At 39.2% G+C, this 20,465-nt stretch overlaps 2 annotated features.

The window, feature by feature from the left end:
- Positions 203-1,070: an enhancer, noted in NCBI's record as "OCT4-NANOG-H3K27ac hESC enhancer chr2:165315134-165316001 (GRCh37/hg19 assembly coordinates)". NCBI's record gives its function as "activates a minimal SCP1, AML or CMV promoter by ChIP-STARR-seq in naive and primed H9 embryonic stem cells {active_cell/tissue: H9 hESC(naive and primed)}" and the evidence as "EXISTENCE:reporter gene assay evidence [ECO:0000049][PMID:30033119]".
- Positions 1,071-1,937: an enhancer, noted in NCBI's record as "OCT4-NANOG-H3K27ac hESC enhancer chr2:165316002-165316868 (GRCh37/hg19 assembly coordinates)". NCBI's record gives its function as "activates a minimal SCP1, AML or CMV promoter by ChIP-STARR-seq in naive H9 embryonic stem cells {active_cell/tissue: H9 hESC(naive)}" and the evidence as "EXISTENCE:reporter gene assay evidence [ECO:0000049][PMID:30033119]".

The raw sequence follows: 20,465 nt of genomic DNA on the forward strand, positions 1-20,465 counted from the left end.
ATATAGTAGACATCAATTTCTTGAATTCAAACATTTCCTTCAAAATCAAGCTTGTGATGCAAATAAAATTCAAACTTTCCAAGTTAGGTTTCCTTTGTTTCATTTCTACATATGGTAAATGCAAAACTTCCAGTCACTAGGAAATAGATTAAATAATCATAGAATCATAGAATTTTCAGTGCTGGAAGGGACCTTAGAGATCATCTAGTCCAACCCCCTCATTTTAACAGATGAGGAGACTGATGTCTGTGGAGGATTATAGCCTCAGGGGGAAACCAGAGTTCATTAACTCATCTCTGGAAAGACTTGGTTTTTTTTTTTTTCTTTTTTTTTTTGGTTAGAATAAATGATTAAATCATTCCAATTTCATGCTATCTCCTTTATTCAGAAAGTTTACATTTGCTTTCTCCTTTTGTCCATGTAACCATGACAATAGTGGGGAATAATAGAGCTATCAGTATAAAAATAGCCTCATTAGCATCAACAAGGGGCTCGCCAATCAGCTTGGACCTATTACAGGACTGATAACTACCTCCCCTGCCTTCCAGTTTGCAACAAACACACTCTCTGGACTCCTCCCACAGGCTGGCTCTTTCCTCTTCTGAAGCTGTGTCCCTCACAGTTTGACAGCTGGGATTTACAAGTGGAATCATACCTGAGAAAGCCCTGTTCTCAAGCAGGATCAGCTGGATCTGCCCTGAGATTTCCAACCTGCCTCTGCTTTCCAGAACCCCTATTTGTCAGGCCTCTGAGCCCAAGCCAAGCCATCGCATCCCCTGTGACCTGCACGTATACGCCCAGATGGCCTGAAGTAACTAAAGAATCACAAAAGAAGTGAATATGCCCTGCCCCACCTTAACTGATGACATTCCACCACAAAAGAAGTGTAAATGGGCGGTCCTTGCCTTAACTGATGACATTACCTTGTGAAAGTCCTTTTCCTGGCTCATCCTAGCTCAAAAAGCACCCCCACTGAGCACCCTGTGACCCCCACTCCTGCCCACTGAGCACCTTGCAACCCCCACTCCTACCCGCCAGAGAACAAACCCTCTTTGACCGTAATTTTCCTTTACCTACCCAAATCCTATAAAACGGCCCCACCCTTATCTCCCTTCGCTGACTCTCTTTTCGGACTCAGCCCGCCTGCACCCAGGTGAAATAAACAGCCATGTTGCTCACACAAAGCCTGTTTGGTGGTCTCTTCACACGGACGCGCATGAAATTTGCTGCCGTGACTCGGATCAGGGGACCTCCCTTGGGAGATCAATCCCCTGTCCTCCTGCTTTTTGCTCCATGAGAAAGATCCACCTACGACCTCAGGTCCTCAGACTGACCAGCCCAAGAAACATCTCACCAATTTCAAATCCGCTATGCGGCCTCTTTTTACTCTCTTCTCCAACCTCCCTCACTATCCCTCAACCTCTTTCTCCTTTCAATCTTGGCGCCACACTTCAATCTCTCCCTTCTCTTAATTTCAATTCCTTTCATTTTCTGGTAGAGACAAAAGAGACATGTTTTATCCATGAACCCAAAACTCCGGCGCCGGTCACGGACTGGGAAGGCAGCCTTCCCTTGGTGTTTAATCATTGCAGGGACGCCTCTCTGATTCTACACTCACGTTTCAAGGGTGTCAGACCACGCAGGGACGTCTGCCTTGGTCCTTCACCCTTAGTGGCAAGTCCCGCTTTCCTGGGGCAGGGGCAAGTACCCCTCAACCCCTTCTCCTTCACCCTTAGCGGCAAGTCCCGCTATCCTAGGGGGCAAGAACCCCCCAATCGCTTATTTCCGCACCCCAACCTCTTATCTCTGTGTTCCAATCCCTTATTTCCGCACCCTGACCTCTTATCTCTGTGCCCCAATCCCTTATTTCCATGCCTCAACCCCTTCTCTGCTTTTCTGGAGGGCAAGAACCCCCCATCCCTTCTCCGTGTCTCTACTCTTTTCTCTGGGCTTGCCTCCTTCACTATGGGTAAGCTTCCACCTTCCATTCCTCCTTCTTCTCCCTTAGCCTGTGTTCTCAAAAACTTAAAACCTCTTCAACTCACACCTAACCTAAAACCTAAATGCCTTTTCTTCTGCAATGCCGCTTGACCCCAATACAAACTCAAGAGTAGTTCCAAATAGCCAGAAAACGGCACTTTCAATTTTTCCATCCTACAAGATCTAAATAATTCTTGTCGTAAAATGGGCAAATGGTCTGAGGTGCCTGACTTCCAGGCATTCTTTTACACATCAGTCCCTTCCTAGTCTCTGTGCCCAGTGCAACTTCTCCCAAATCTTCCTTCTTTCCCTCCCGCCTGTCCCCTCAGTGCCAACCCCAAGCGTCGCTGAGTCTTTCTAATCTTCCTTTTCTACAGACCCATCTGACCTCTCCCCTCCTCCACAGGCCGAGCTAGGTCCTAATTCTTCCTCAGCCTCCACTCCTCCACCCTATAATCTTTTTATCGCCTCCCCTCCTCACACCTGCTCCGGCTTACAGTTTCATTCCGTGAGTAGCCCTCCCCCTCCCGCCCAGCAATTTATTCTTAAAAAGGTGGCTGGAGCTAAAGGCATAGTCAAGGTTAATGCTTCTTTTTCTTTATTCCAAATCAGATAGCGTTTAGGCTCTTTTTTATCAAATATAAAAATCCAGCCCAGTTCATGACTCATTTGGCAGCAACCCTGAGACACTTTACAGCCCTAGACCCTAAAAGGTCAAAAGGCCATCTTATTCTCAAAATACATTTTATTACCCAATCTGCTCCCGACATTAAAACTCCAAAAATTAAATTCTGGCCCTCAAACCCCACAACAGGACTTAATTAACCTCACCTTCAAGGTGTACAATAATAGAAAAAAGTTGCAATTCCTTGCCTCCACTGTGAGACAAACCCCAGCCACATCTCCAGCACACAAGAACTTCCAAACGCCTGAACCGCAGCGGCCAGGAGTTCCTCCAGAACCTCCTCCCACAGGAGCTTGCTACATATGCCGGAAATCTGGCCACTGGGCCAAAGAATGCCCGCAGCCCAAGATTCCTCCTAAGCCGCATCCCACCTGTGCGGGACCCCACTGAAAATCGGACTGTTCAACTCACCTGGCAGCCACTCCCAGAGGCCCTGGAACTCTGGCCCAAGGCTCTCTGACTGACTCCTTCCCAGATCTTCTCGGCTTAGCGGCTGAAGACTGACACTGCCCGATCGCCTCGGAAGCCCCCAGACCATCACGGACGCCGAGCTTCGGGTAACTCTCACAGTGGAAGGTAAGCCCGTCCCCTTCTTAATCAATATGGAGGCTACCCACTCCACATTACCTTCTTTTCAAGGGCCTGTTTCCCTTGCCTCCATAACTGTTGTGGGTATTGACAACCAGGCTTCTAAACCTCTTAAAACTCCCCAACTCTGGTGCCAACTTAGACAATACTCTTTTAAGCACTCTTTTTAGTTATCCCCACCTGCCCAGTTCCCTTATTAGGCTGAGACACTTTAACTAAATTATCTGCTTCCCTGAATATTCCTGGACTACAGCTATATCTCATTGCTGCCCTTCTTCCCAATCCAAAGCCTCCTTTGCGTCCTCCTCTTGCATCCCCCCACCTTAACCCACAAGTATAAGATACCTCTACTCCCTCCTTGGCGACCAATCATGCACCCCTTACCATCTCATTAAAACCTAATCACCCTTACCCTACTCAACGCCAATATCCCATCCCGCAGCATGCTTTGAAAGGATTAAAGCCTGTTATCACTCACCTGCTACAGCATGGCCTTTTAAAGCCTATAAACTCTCCTTACAATTCCCCCATTTTACCTGTCCTAAAACCAGACAAGCCTTACAAGTTAGTTCAGGATCTGCGCCTTATCAACCAAATTGTTTTGCCTATCCACCCTGTGGTGCCCAACCTGTACACTCTTTTGTCCTCAATACCTTACTCCACAACTCACTATTCCATGCTTGATCTTAAAGATGTTTTTTGCACTATTCCCCTGCACCCCTCGTCCCAGCCTCTCTTTGCTTTCACTTAGACTGACCCTGACACCCATTAGGCTCAGCAAATTACCTAGGCTGTACTGCTGCAAAGCTTCACAGACAGCCCCCATTACTTCAATCAAGCCCAAATTTCTTCCTCATCTGTTACCTATCTCGGCATAATTCTCATAAAAACACACGTGCTCTCCCTGCCAATCATGTCCGACTGATCTCTCAAACCCCAGCACCTTCTACAAAACAACAACTCCTTTCCTTCCTAGGCATGGTTAGCGTGGTTAGAATTCTTACACAAGAGCCAGGACCACACCCTGTAGCCTTTCTGTCCAAACAACTTGACCTTACTGTTTTAGCCTAGCCCTCATGTCTGCGTGCAGCGGCTGCCGCTGCTTTAATACTTTTAGAGGCCCTCAGAATCACAAACTATGCTCAACTCACTCTCTACAGTTCTCATAACTTCCAAAATCTATTTTCTTCCTCATACCTGACACATAGACTTTCTGCTTTCCGGCTCCTTCAGCTGTACTCACTCTTTGTTGAGTCTCCCACAATTACCGTTGTTCCTGGCCCAGACTTCAATCTGACCTCCCACATTATTCCTGATACCACACCTGACCCCCATGACTGTATCTCTCTGATCCACCTGACATTCACCCCATTTCCCCAAATTTCCTTCTTTCCTGTTCCTCACCCTGATCACGCTTGATTTATTGATGGCGGTTCCACCAGGCCTAATCGCCACACACCAGCAAAGGCAGGTTATACTATAATACAAGCCACTAGCCCGCCTCTTAGAACCTCTCATTTCCTTTCCATCATGGAAATCTATCCTCAAGGAAATAACTTCTCAGTGTTCCATCTGCTATTCTACTACTCCTCAGGGATTATTCAGGCCCCCTCCCTTCCCCACAACAGTGGGTGTGGTTGGTCTTTTTAATTTCAGCCATTTTAAGAGTGATGTAATGGTATCTCATTGTGATTTTATTGTTTATTTCCCTAATGGCTATCATATACTTCTTCCCAATCCTTATATCCTCTTCGATAAAGTGGCTATTCACATTTTTTGCTCTGCTTTCTTATTGAATTCACAAGCAGGTCTGACTGCAAACCCCCCATGCCCTAAAATGTGCAGTTCTTGCTGCTTATTCAGAAAATAAAAGCGATATATTGCATGTGCAATTAATAGCAAGTTCTCTTTACTTCATGAGTGTATCCTCTGAAGGGGCTGCCCTGTTCAAGCACATGGTCTCCCCTTCATGCAGCTCAACAAAATGTATCCTACTCTAAAATGAATCCTTGTCAGAGTTTACTCTTCAGGGCATGAGCAGACAGGAAAAGCTTGCTTTTCCCTGATAGTAAAATTTAAAGACATGAAATCACGGATGAAAATAAGTGGAGATAAGGTGAACTCAGATAAGTAAGATGGAGCAATGAGACAGAGAGCCACTAAAGGATGCCGTGTATAGCTGTGAAATTTGTTCATTGCACAGGGTAAGTGGCTGAAGGAGCAAGTGGAGTTTGTACCTAGACTCCATTTACTACTCCCAGGCTTATCCCCTTGCCCAGGGCTTCACTGACAGAGGGCGCTTAAAAAAAAAAATTGCACAAAGCTACAACATGAACTAGGGGTGGCCTCGATGAACAGATTTCCTTTGTTTGTCTTTTGTTCTTTTACTATCTTCCAAACTCATAGCATCACATTACCATGCTGGATTCTGCATTATTCATGTCAAATAATCTGCTAAATAATGTGTCCTAGAAGGCATGATATGAACCAAGGTAGCTCACATAAAAAAAGAAAAAATAATGGCATAAATGATAAATGAAATACAGATTCTTAAAGAAATTTTATGGTATTTAATTAATCTACCAGTTTTACTAAGTTGCTTTCAAGTGAAATGGCTCTTTACCAGTGCCTTTTGAAAAGGTTAGAAGTGAATTCCCTGAGCTACAATCATTAGCATATAGATGTCTCTAAGTGTTAATTTCTGTTTTCACTGAATGAATGTAATTTAAAATGAGGCTCTTTCAAATCAGTTAACTTCGGCCATTTGAGAAAGATAAGAAAAATGGACTCAAGCATGAACCCCCAGCAGAACCTGCTTCTTCGGGATAAGTACTATATGCCACAGTCACGCACTACTTTGGGAAATTACAGATCTTTTCAGAAAGAGAAAGAGAGTTTGAGGTGAGCAGGTTAAAAGGACCCAAAACATTTGCTTTCGATTTAGCTAATCATGAAAAGGAAATTGAAATTGAATGAAGAAATCAATTTTGAAAAATATGGCAGTTCTGTCCCCACAGAAAAGCCCAGTAATATTGTAGATCAAATCCTGCAACAATAACTTTCTGTTTTTGCACAACGCTTGCCATGTAGAGGTTACTCAATACACTTTTGCAGAGCTGTGTTATGTAAATAGAAAGATGAGTCTAATAGTGATCATTAAAGACAGCTAAAATTTTACTCATACTCTCTTTACAACCTGTCTTTGTTTGTGATGCTATAAGGAAACATCTGAGACTGAGTAATTTATGAAAAATAGAAATTTATTTCTCAAAGTTCTGGAGCCTGAGAAGTCCAAGATCAAGGTGCTGGCAGGTCTAGTGTCTCTTGCAAAGACCCTTTCCTCATAGATGGGGCCACCTAGGGAGCCCTTACATGGTGGAAGGGCTCAAAAGGGCAAAAAAAGGATAAATGCTGTGATGTCACATGGGAGAAGAACCTAGGCTAGTCCTTCCAGCCCTTTCATAAGGGACTAATCTATTCATGAGGGCCTAGCAACTTCATCAATTCCCAAAAGACCCCAACTCTTTTCTTTTTTAACTTGTGTTGAAGTGTGGGATACACGTGGGATACACGTGCAGGTTTGTTACAAGGTAAATATGTCATGGGGGTTTGTTGTGTAGATTATTTCATCACCCAGGTATTAAGCCTAGTACCCATTAGTTATTTTTCCTGATCCTCTCCCTTCTGCCACCTTCCACCCTCCAGTAGGCCTCAGTGTGTGTTGTTCCCCTCTATGTGTCCATGTGTTCTCATCATTTAGCTCCCACTTATAAGTGAGAATATGCAGCATTTGGTTTTCTCTTTCTGTATTAGTTTACTAAGGATAATGGCCTCCAGCTCCATCCATGTCCCTGCAAAGGACATGATCTTGTTCTTTTTATGACTTCATAGTATTCCTTGGTGTATATGTACCCCATTTTCTTTATCCAAGACCCCAAATCTTAATACTGCCACAGAGGATATTAAGTTTCAACATATGAATTTTGGGACACACTTTCAGACCATAGCACAATTCCTTCTCTTTACTTCTGAAGTAACCCTTTAATAATACAAATCAGAACCCGTCAATCCCATGCTTATAATACTTCAACAACTTCTTCTTGTCATTCTTTGGATAAAATTTAGGATAAAATTCAAAGTCCTAAGCATGGCCACAAGTCCAACATGTTCTGCCACATTGACCTCCTCTCACCCCCATCCCCACTAGGCTCAGCTATACTGACTTCGCACAGTCTTACACACACAGCTCTGTCCTGCCTCGAGCCCTGATTTTTGATGCTCTGTGAATGCGAGGCTCTTCCTGCAGCTCTCCTATGGGCAGCTCACGCTCATCCCTCATGCTTCAGGTCCGATGTCACCTTCCCTAAGGAAGTCTGTCCTCATCAGCATACCTAAAGTGATCCGCACCATGCCACTGGTTCTAAATCTCACCACTATCTTTCTATCATAGTACTTATCAAAATCTGACATTATCATTCTTATTTAACATCTACCTTTCTCATGAATGTAAGGGCATTGTGAGAACACAGAACTTCTTTCTTGTTTATAGCAATATCCCTGGTACCTAGCACAATAGGCACAGTGCCTGTTCCTTTGTAGGAGACTGAAAAATATTTTCTGATATAATCAATAAGTGAATGGTGAACAGGTGGATTTGCCAGCTCCACTCTAGATGTTTTTCAATGGTATATAGACCCAAAGATACATAAGCCCATTGATTATACAGAATGGATTAAATCAGAGCATGAAATCACTGCCTTCAAAATACTACTTTAAAAAGCCAAATCGTGTCTATGTTCCCCCATAGCACTTATAGCACCCAGTAGCACAACAGCACTTAACACATGGTGCTGGACTGTCTACCACATTCATGTTATACTTATCTGCTTATAGGACAACTCTAATGTCCTAAACTGTAAGATGAGTCAGGAAACAGATAACGACTTTTTTTTTTTTTTTTTTTTTTTGAGACAGAGTTTCGCTCTTGTTGCCCAGGCTGGAGTGCAGTAGCGCAATCTTGGCTCACTGCAACCTCTGCCTCCCGGGTTTAAGCGATTCTCCTGCCTCAGCCTCCCAAGTAGCTGGGATTACAGGCATCCACCACCACACCTGGCTAATTTTTTGTATTTTTAGTAGAGATTGGGTTTCACCATGTTGGCCAGGCTGGTCTCGAACTCCTGATCTCAGGCAATCTGCCCGCCTCAGCCTCCCAAAGTGCTGGGATTACAGGCGTGAGCCACTGCACCTGGCCAAGACCGCATCTTGTTCAACTTTTTATCCCCTAAGTTCCCTTGAACATAACAAATACATAGTAAACATTCAATTTGTTCCTACCTTCTCTAGAATTCAGACACACTGCCAGGTGAAGTCCTTCTCTAAATTGGCTTCACACTCACAATTCTGCCATAGCAAAGAGAAAAAGTCAGGGCCATTAATTGTTGGATCCTCATGAACATAAGAAGCTCTTGGCTTAGGGCTCCAATCATGTGACTAACTCATGGAACTATCCATTTATTTGCCCATTCTTCAGTCAACAAATGCTACTGAATACCTACTCAAGGCAGATTAGGGTCCCACTTAGAGCTCACATCCTAGTAGAGAAGAAAGACCATAAGCAAGTATAAACAAACTAACGAAAACCTATAATTGAAATTGCAAAGTGTTTTATGAAAGTATGAATAGAGCTAATGATAAAGAATAGAAGGTGTAGGGGTTACGTGGCCAGGAAAGGCCTCTCTGAGATGGTATTTAAAAAGAGACCTTAAATATGAGAAGGAGACTGGGCATGGTGGCTCACAATTGCAACCCTAGCACTTTGGGAGGCTGAGGCTGGTGGATCACCTAAGGTCAGGAATTTGAGACCAGCCTGACCAACATGGTAAAACCCCATGTCTGCTAAATTCAAAAAATTAGCTGAGTGTGGTGGTGCATTCCTATAATCCCAGCTACCTGGGAAGCTGAGGCAGGAGTATCACTTGAACCCAGGTGGCAGAGGTTGCAGTGAGCCAAGATTGTGCCATTGCACTCCAGCCTGGGCAACAAGAGCAAAACTGTCTCAAAAAAAAAAATGAGAAAGAGCTATTTATCCGTAAATCTGTGGGAAAGTATGTGGCAGGAACAGCATGTGTGGCAACCCCCAGGTGGAAAGACACTAGGTACATTGAGAGACTTTAAGAGGCCCTGGGTCTGGGAGCATGCATAGAGAGGAGAGAAATGCATGGCAATGCAAAAGGGAGCAGAGCTTGGATCATAGAGGATGTTGTAGGTTGTAGCACTAACTTTCTTTGTATTCATAATGCAATGAAAGTCCAATGATGGTGTTTAAACAGAGGCATGACAGGCTGTATTCTCATTTTTAGAGATTATCCTGGTCGATATGTGGAGAATAGATTGGTCATGGAAATTCACAAGTGTCTCTCTGCCACATGCTACTTTATATTGTGCCTGAGAAAAACTTTTCTTAGCTAATGGGACCTCCTCTAATCATCTCAGAAGACTCCATTGGGGTGCCTCACTTATCTGGGTATCTGATCACAGTGTCATGCTCATCATAACTTCAGAGTGAATAGGGCCGTTGACGCTGCAATATACTGGTGTATGTACATACTGCTGACTCCCTTGTGCTTTGACATTGGATCTATAATGGGTTTCCTCCTGAGGGGCTTTATTCTTTTGAGAGAAGGTCATTTCTTCATGCTTATTTGTCTGCTTCATGCTATTTGCTTGTTTGTCTACATAAGCTCCAGTGTTACAACTATAAGGCCATATTTTTAAATGCAGACATTTCAGATACTATGATTCCTTCCTCCCACTGCGGTTTTCTCAGCCAGCAATCCCTATCCTTATCAACAAAGACAGTGTGAGGGTCACACTTCTGCACACACAGACATACACAGGAGGGCCTATGGATGAAGAAAGCCAAGAGTTTTGTAGTTTTGTTTTCCTTTTTTCAAGGGCAAAAGTAGAATAAAACCTTGCAGGTCATGCAGCAACTTAGTGGCTCAGATCGCTACAATAGCTCCTTCCATCTGCTTTAGGAGCTGTTTAAAAGACTTGATGCTTCAATGCCCATCCTTCTTCAGTTCAGGAAATACCCATGCATAAAAAACATATCCATTCCCTATGCTCTAAATGATATCCTAGGTAGCCTGAGTTGATGTGTCAACTAAGATGGCAGAGGGAGGACCGTAAACTGCAAGATAGCATAGCTAAATGAGGGGTATTTCTCTATATTGAAAGTTAATCTTCAGAGTTCATGAAACATATGTGTCACTAGTTAGTAAATTCAGAATACAAGCTGGTTTATCTATGTCCCTTATAGCCCTATTTGTGCAAAAAAAAAAAAAAATGCATCTACCACTATGACAGTACTCAACTTAGAGAATACAGATAATTATAATAGCTAATTTACATTGAACAATTATGTATTGTAATGCATTTAATCCTTCTAATATAACATTCTGAAGAAGCAAATATTATCTCCATTTTACAGATGATAAAAACAGAGCTTCAATAGGTCAAGTAATTTGCCAAGGCCACACTTTGAATAAGTGACAGACCTGGGATTCAAATCCAGGTCTGTCCAATCCCAGGTCCAAACTCTTAATCCTATATAATGCTGATTTTTGCTGTCAAGATACTCACAGTAGGAGAGATAATAATGAAATCTATTAATATTCACCATGGAAAGTGCTATGTATGTAGCAAAGTCTTGTGGATACTCAGAAAACAGACTCCCTGAGTGGGAGAAGAGTTGCAAAAACAAGTGAAGTTTGGGTTGAATCCTGTGTGGTGCCAGTCTAACACAGAAGTCAAGATATCCTGCCCTGAAGATATACTTTAGGTTTTAATCTGGTAATCTGGCTTCGCCTTCTTTAACAAATTACATAATATTTCAGTGTTTCAGTTTTTCCATCGATCAAATGGTGTTACATATTTTGGCAGATCGATATGACGATTTAATGAGTTAAGTCATGTCATGGGCTTAAAACAGTGCTTGGTAGATAGTAAACATGCAATAAATGTCACTAATTCTTGCTTTTAGCAAAGAAAATTTAGGAGGTTATCAGGGTTGATTAGATGGTGGCAGGAATGGCATTCTAAGCTGAAGAAACATTTTCAAAAGCTAGTAAGCAAGAGAGTGTGACAAAGTCAAAGAGTTTTCAGACATTCTGTAGGTTGGAGTTTTTGGGTTTTCATACATAGAGGAAGGAGGTATCATCATATGACAGGAGAAGGAAGCAGCACCTTGACATTAAAATGATCTTGTATGTAACCTTTGAATTAGAGAATATTTCTTACTTGGTTCTTATCAATAAAATTGCAGAATTTGATGAAATGACCATATAGCCCCTTGCAGTTCTAATAATTACCAAAGTCTACAATTCCTATCCTCTCCATTGTCAATTTCTTGCAGAATTTATGCTTGGGTCTTTTAAATCTAACTGTTCACTTGCCATTCTTATTACAGAATCCCTAATCAGTTGATGTAAATAGTTGACTTAAATTTAATGCCATCATTTTTAGTAGGGATAATATCCCCGTAAGTAGACAATCTTGAAATTCTGATGATTTTTGTATTTTTGTCAAATATCTGGTAATTAAATATGTTTTCATTTAAACAAGTCTGAAAAAACGTAAGTGTTCTTCAGAAATGATAATAAAGAGAAACACTAGCGACACAAAATATTAACATTAGTTAATGCCAAACAGTAATATTTATCTAACAAATAAGTGCAGTGTGCTTGACATTTTTCCTGTTATCAATTTGTTTTATTTAGGATTTTTGTTTCACTTATGGCAGCACAAGTATATTTAAATAGTAAGTTTGCCTTTTACCTAAAATGTTCACAGTCATCATAAAATTATATACGTCTTGTTTTAATAGCTTGTTGACACATCTGTTAGAGATGAATCCAGCACCCATATCCATACAAAGCCCACTATTAGGGAAATCACTTGTTTCCAACCAGCCCAATCACTGCAAAAATAGGAATTGCCATTGTACTGTATCTACTGTGCAATGTTATTTATGAAGTGCTGCAGTGGAGCACAGCAATGCCATTCATCAGTATCCAATCAACAACAAAGCTGGCAGGGAAGTGGGGTGTACAAGAATGCATTGGCACAGATCATTTAAACCAGGAGATTCTAGAGCTTGAACTTGGCAATAGTTATTGCAACTAATTTATTTGTTATTTGCGGGAAAGGGTTACTACTTTGAAACACACTTGAAAAGTTTCCAATTTCAGGACACGGAAGGGTCCAAAACGCAACTAGCATTCTTGTGTGATTTCCTCCCAGCACTCCCTTCCCCCATCCACACACCTCATGTCATTTCATTCTCTGCCATGGTTACATTTTTTTTTTTTTTTTTTTTGCTCATTCCCTATTTCTGTTTTTAAAATTGAATCCTCTCCAAATTCTTTTCCTTTTTTAAACACCACCTGCTCTTCTTTCTAAAGTACCTCCAACACAGGTTCACATTTCTTGAGAGTGCCATTAGATTCGGAAGTGATACATACATGCTGTTTGTTGCTTAGCATTAAAGGCTAGAGTATGGATCAAGTCTTTATTCACATATATTAGTACTATGTAGATGAGTCAAAATGCCATGATCATTTATAAATACAATGCAATTCAAATCCAAAGCACAATAGGATTTTTCATACACCTTGACAAACTGATTCTTAGCTCTATATAGAAGAACAAAGCTCTAAGACTAGTCAAACATTTTTCAAAGTACAAGCAGCAAAGAGGTCTTGCTTCACTAGCAATGAAGATTTGTATGTAAAGCCATGGTAGTTAATACAATGTGGCTATAGAACACAAAAAGACAAATTGATCAATGGAACTAAATAAGAATCTCAGAAATAGAAGTACGCATAGAGGTAAACTTGTTAAATAATAAAAGAGGCATTGAAAATATGTTAACAAACTATTCAAAAATGGCACTGAGATGTTAGCTTCTGATACTAAATAATAATAATAATAATAATAAAACTCAACAGTATACACATACATAAATTCCAAGAGGATTAAAGCTTACATATAAAAAGACAAAAATGGCCGGGCGTGGTCACTCACACCTGTAATCTCAGCACTTTGGGAGGCTGAGGCGGGCGGATCATGAGGTCAGGAGATTGAGACCATCCTGGCTAACACGGTGAAACCACGTCCCTACTAAAAATACAAAAAATTAGCTGGGTATGGTGGCGGGCACCTGTAGTCCCAGCTACTTGGGAGGCTGAGGTAAGAGAATGGCGTGAACCTGGGAGGCGGAGCTCGCAGTGAGCCAAGATCATCGCGACACTGCACTCCAGCCTGGGCGACAGAGTGAGACTCTGTCTCAAAAAAAAAAAAAAAGACAAAAATGTAAAATGTTTGTGGCCTTCGGATGTCAAACACTTATAAGTTATGAAGGAATGGATGATTTAATTTGGCCAGATCAAAATTAAAGCCTCTGAACGAAAGATACTATAAACAATGTTTAAGGACAAGCCCTACCCTGAGAGAAGACATTTGAAACACATATGACCAGGAATTAGAATTTTAAAAAATTGTTTAAACTCCTCTAAGTGATGATACAAATACGACCAAATAGTAAAATGTGCAAAAAATTTGAACAAATACCAGAAGAGGAAACTTGAATTTTTAATTAACACAATCCCATGAAAATAAATTCACATCCATTAATATTATTAAAATACTATTTCATAACAATCCAACTGGCAAAAAAAAAAAAAATGTCTGTAACAGTAGGTGTTGATGAGGATTTAGGTAATCCCCATACCTAAGTTCTCATACCCCTGCTGGTAGGGGTGTAAAGTATTAGGACCAACTACAAAAGCATTTTGGCAGTACATGTAATACAGAAAATTTACAAAATCTACAATCCAGCAATTCAACTCCTAGGTAGATAGTCTAACAACACAAACAAAAACAACATAAACAACACAAGCAAAAACTCTCATAAGAAGGTACAACTTAGAATATTTTTGCAGAATTATTTGTAATAATGCAAACTTCATAAAACACAAATAAAAACATACAGGAAATAAACTTCGATATAACCTTAAAAAGCAGCAAAAGTGAAATATGCACACACACACACACACACACATAGCTAGATAGAATTATAGAACAATACAGAGATAGATACCAATATGGATAGACTTCAAAAATACATTTTTTTTGTTTTTAAAGCAAGTTATAGAACAATATGTATAGGATAATAACACTAATTTTTTTTCAAATACACAGAAAATAACATATATCATTTATGGGTAGTTACATAAGTAGTAGAAATATAAAAATAGACATAAAATTTGTGAATGTTATTACCTTTGGAAAGGAAAGAAGGGAGAAGGCTATAAAGTTTTATTTCTTTAAAAAAACAGCATGAAGTAAATGTGACAAAATATTATTTATTAATTTTGGAGAGTGTGTAAAATGTCTGCTGTGGAAAATAAAGCAGAGGGGAGGAAGTATGTAATATTTCTGCCTGTTACATACTCAGGAAGTTAAGGTCTTATCTCATTTATCACATGTTTTACCTTTCTGAACTAGAGCTATGGTTATTTTTCACATTAACACTTGAATAAATTTAACTTTAAAAAATATCTACCCTTTAAGAAGCAACTGATTTCTGAGCTTAGATGCACATGAGCTAATGGAGAAGGTTTAGGTGTTCAGGAAGCACTAGTCTTTATTGGAACCACAGACAAAAATAAGTACGGGCTTTCACTCTGAATTACCTTCCCCTATCAGTCAGCTGTAGGGCTACAATATTCCGCCAACAGTTATTTCCTTGGGTAACAACATGGCTTCTCATCGCCTCTTTCCTACCACCAAGGGGTATCTGTATCTATGCATATTTTCGTATAAGTGAGATTTTTAAACACCTTTCTAATCTAGTAGAAGAGCTAAGATGAAAACAGTTTTGATAGGAAGAGTGAGAGTGGAAAATATCCTGTGTAAAGACGTTTATTAATTTGGTTGGACTAGGTTTTGGTTGGCAGAAAAGAACCCTAAAACAACTCCAAAAATCCAATTGGTTTAACATAAAAACGTTTCTTTCTCAATCATATAATATGTACAAAGCGGACTGGTGGAGGGCTCTTTTACACCCAAGAACCCAGGTGATAGAGGCTTACCATCCTATACTATCAGCTATACTATCTGGAAGATGTCATCTTCTCAGCAGCACCTTTGTCGGGTCAAGAGCAACTGGAAAAAAGCACACAAGCTTTTCACCACCATACTTTGTCTTTTGGCCAGAAAAAGTTCCAGGGCCCTTTCACCCGGGGATCTGTCTTCCATATGCCTGACATTAGAGAAAATTGAATGTTAGTGACCACTAGTAATATCTACCAAGATGTAGAACTGGGGTGCAGCCAGGTGTCCTAGAGAGGAAACCTGGAGAAGATAGCAAGTTTAAGGCTAAAAGAAAAGATTGACAAGGTACAGAAGGAGCAAACTATCAAAGCTTTGCCTTAGAGTGTCAATAGATTCAAATATTTGATTAACATACAGAAATTAGGGGGAAAATAACTTTAATGCTTTTAGTGTAGAGATTGTAGTATGTGCAAGATGCCCTGAATAAGAAATACAGAACTTGCATATTTCAGGTCTTCATTTTTTCAAAAACTCAAACCAGTTATCTTTTATTTTGCTGGTGACTGTAATTGTCAATTAGGTGCTAGGTCTTTTGTAATTTGAAATGTTTATGAGAAAAGACAAAAATCAAAGAAGGAGTATTTGTTCTCATTCTTTCACCTCTTTTTGTAGGATCCAGTATAAGACAATAAAAATTTGTTCATGTCCCACATACACTTTGTACAGACTTATTAGAAAACCTCTTGAGAGGATTATATTGTTTATCTTCAGTGATGCCAGGGTTTGTGCAATTACGCCTAAAATTAATCTTATTAGGATGATTCTCTTTACCAAATTCATTTATTATACTGTAACATCCATAATATATTTGATTCTCTTCTAGCTTAGCTAAATTTTAATTATCTCTACTGGCAGTTGTCTACGTGAAGTTGCACACTAGGTATTCTTAAATCCAACGCAATTTAATGCCAAAATGTATCCATGTTCTGTAACAAGAAATTCTAAATAAATCTAACAGAGCTTGTCTGCTTCCTTTATCTTTTGTGAAAACTACTGGTAGTTGCAAACATAATGTAATCTATCCTCAAGCATAACATTTAATTATTGGCTCATAATTTTATTAACTTCAATGCAGCAACTATAATGAGTTTGTGTTCAGTTTTGCATTCAGAATCAAGATCTAGGGATTAAATAATCTTCTTATATTCTTATTTGTCACTAAAATCCAAAAGCACTATATCAATTTGATAAGATGTAAAACCTCAAGAAAAGTGCTGTGGTCAGCTGGATCTACAGTTTTAATTTTGATAGCAGAGATAATTTGATAAACTTTTTTAGGAATTTTTTTCTTACAGTTAATTTAGACATACTGTACTTATTTCCCCACTCCTTTCCCCTTTTTTGGTAAAGAAAGAAAACATAGTCAGGAAGCATTTTTTCCCCTAGAACAAGAGCAGCAGGGCCTTTTAAAGGATCTTCATTATTTTATGGGGTAAATATTCACAGCTCTCAAATTTATTGGTACAGCTGTCAACATGTATATTCAGTTTGATAATAATGTTCCCGCTTAACGAGGCCTCTTGGAATTATTTATTATTAAATTTCATTACTTTCTGCAAATGTTCATGCTGATTAAGCCCACCCTTTCAGGCTCTACCACACTTAGACCAATCACAGTGTGATGAGATGGTGAAATTTAAGCTAACTTGCTTTCCACAGGACTTGTCTTGTCAAATCTTTAAATATAATTTAATGAAATGTCTGTTGATGTAACAATGGTAAGTGGAAAAACTCATTTATAAAATCAACCAACCATACCTGAAGTACATTTGCACTCCTTGACATGACAAGAATTATTTAAACATTTTGGACTGCCTTTGTGTGAAAAGAATTGCCACGTATAGTATTTGCCAAATATTCTGAACATTGTACTCTGCAATGAACGTGGCACATCTTTCCTGGAAAATGTTACTCCCAAAACTCAGATCTCTAATAAAAAATGCCTTCAAAAGCACCAAGTGGTATAGAAATATAATCATTATCATCTTTATAGATATTGACAGAATAGATCTTGTCCAAATTCTTGGTTATTTTGCAAGGTGATAGGGGCGTAATAAAAATATATTATCAGTATTGCCATAGGAAGGAATCAAGAGAGTAATTCCATACATAAAATAGAGAAGGCCTGTGAATGGAATATACATACACAAATGTATATATGTGTGTATGCATATACATATACATATATATACACACAGAGAGACATATACGCACACGTACATATAATTTTCAACATGGAATATGAAAATCTTAAGATTTTCTGAACTTAGTAGGTAAAAGAAGTGCAGAGATACGAAAAACGGTACAGGCTAACTAAACTAAAACCTTCATGGGCAAGCTATGGGATAAGAACATCTCATTTTGAAAATAAAGGCAGCTAAAAGCACGTTAGATTTCCCCATTTGAGATGCTTCCATTATTTCTATGAGTTGCGTCACTGCACTAACCGCGTTTTTATACTTATCTGTCAATGGGTTTGTTCTCACTTTCTGTGAGATCTTTGAGGACAAGGACCTTATTCATTATACGTTTCATTTCCTTAGTACCTAGAACAGTTTCTAAGACATAATAGACAACCAATAAATGTTAGACTGATGAATTGAAGGTAGAAAAAACAATCATGGCCAAAAACAACTTTGGAAATCTCCTTACATATAAACTGGTTTAAAATTATTTTCATATTCCTAAAAAAATAAAGAAAATAAAAGAAAAAGAAAGTACTGGCAAAGATGGAGAGAAAAAAATAGGCAAAATTATTTCTAAAATACTATAGAAGGATTATTTTATCTTCTGTCTTTCTTATATGGTTTGGTTCAAAATGTATCTATTATTCAAATCAGCATATATTTCAGCATCTAGAGGATAGAAAGTAACATATAAAATACATTCCCTGCTCAAGAAGACCTTATAATCTGTTTCAAACACATGCTAATTCGAAAGAGACCACTTCAACCTATCCTCAGAAATGTAAAATTTTGAGAGAACTGTTTGCCATGTGAATCTTTTTTTTCTTCTCTTGGAAGGTTTTATGGAAAGCATATATTTTAAGTTACGCTTTGAAGCATAGCAAGATTTGAATAAGTGAAGGAGGACTTGGGTGAGAAAAAAAGTCTACTTTTAGGGGGAGTAGATGTGAAAGGGGACCATGAAATCCTCCAGAATCAATGCAGTAATCAGCAGTAACAGAACCCAGAGAGGTGTTAGCGACCACAGAGTCATGTTTAGAGAAATTTAAAAGGTAGGATGCTGAAAGATTATGAAAAAAATGATGATAAGGAGATGATAATTAACAAATTGATTTAAAAGTTGCTTATACAGTAGCAGTCATTTATCCTTTAATGAAAATTTATTGAATGATTATTATGTTCCCAAAGAGAAAGGGAAAAAGAAAAGGATTTTAAAAATAGTATGTATTGATCTATTTTGTTCCAGGTTCTAGGCCTTGTGTTTTGCATGTATTCTGTCAATCTTTATGACAGTTCCTTTTGTTAAAGGAAACTGAAGAGCAGAGGAGTTATTTATTTGTCCCAAAGTCACAGAGTTGGTAAGTGAGCTTGAACCCCCAGTCCTTCCCTACCTAAAATTATGGTCTTTTCATTCCACCTCCTTCATGCAGACTCTTTCCCATGGGTCCCTTCCAAATGAAATGTCTGCAACAGAGTTCCTATACAAATAACTTTTGGTCTAGATTTTATAAGCTATCTAACTAGATAGATGATAGAAAAATAATAGATTATAGGTTAGATACATGAAAGACAGATGATAGGTAGATAGATGATAGATAGATAGATAGATAGATAGATAGATAGATAGATTGATAGATAATAGCTAGATGCATATTGTTAGAAATCACCATTAAACACTTCAAAACAGCACATGTGAGCGACAGCAAAATAAAACCGCTTTATCGAAACCTTAGAAACAAACAAACCCTGAAATATGAAGGAATAGAAAACAAGTTATCCCATCAACATATTTATTCTACAAAACCAGAACCATCGTTTCTTAAGCATTTAACCTATTTTAAATCATTTCAAAGTTGCTATTTTATTTATTCACAATGTTTACCCACAGATATAATTGGGTCATGCTGAGTTTGGGATGATATTCAAGCACATAGTTAATGATAACCCAGCAAAAACTGTAGTTATGGAAGCAATCTTTGGAAAAATGTCTCCAACAGGAGTGGGATTGATAATCCACTTCAAACCATGAGTATCCAGGGCCTAACATGAGAAGGGTTGGTCAATCGTAGAATTAAGTCCAGATTCCTGTAATGGCCTTGAGGCTACTATTTATATTCACCATGGCTTTTCATCTCTAAGTTAAGATTGAAAATATCATCTTCAGTTTCTTGTCTTCTATGATAATGCTTCAAACCTTAACTTATAAACATTAATGTTCTACATGGCTCTGACTCCACAGTCTCCAAAGTGTAAGTAACTGGATTCAGTCCCAGGGGTCAGCACAGACAGAGCCCACTTCAAAGAGTCCTGGAAGAGGCTTCGCAGATACCTCTTGTTCAGGAGCGTTGGACTTTGACATCAATGACACTCATGTTAAGGCATGTACTGTTGGTCAATGTACTACCTATGGGGTATATTCAGTGCAATGCCTGGGCCTTAGAAAGTATGGCAACAGCATTATCTATTGAAAAGAACCCTTTTGAAAAATATCTTAGGCATTTGAGTTAGACATCCCATGATTTAAAAGCAAGCTTCAGCACTTTACTTCTCTGTTCTCTGTGACATCAGAATAGCAGAACTTTCCTTATGGGATTTTTTCAATGATTAAAAAAGGTAAATTGTGCAAAGAGCCTAGGGTGGTGTCTGACATTCAGCAGAGTTCCCAAAATAATAGTTATTTCTGCTATGGGTATTTTTTGGTTTGCCTTTTAATACAGGGGGGAAAAAAAGGAAGAAGAAGAAGTATAAAGCATTTAAATGTCTTTTCCACTGTTACACAATGGAAAGACCTGGACAGACTCCAGACTCATGTTCATAACAGAGAAGAATCCACGATTTGGAGAAAAATG

Source organism: Homo sapiens, chromosome 2 (assembly GCF_000001405.40).
Source record: "Homo sapiens chromosome 2, GRCh38.p14 Primary Assembly".
Lineage (NCBI taxonomy): Eukaryota > Metazoa > Chordata > Mammalia > Primates > Hominidae > Homo > Homo sapiens.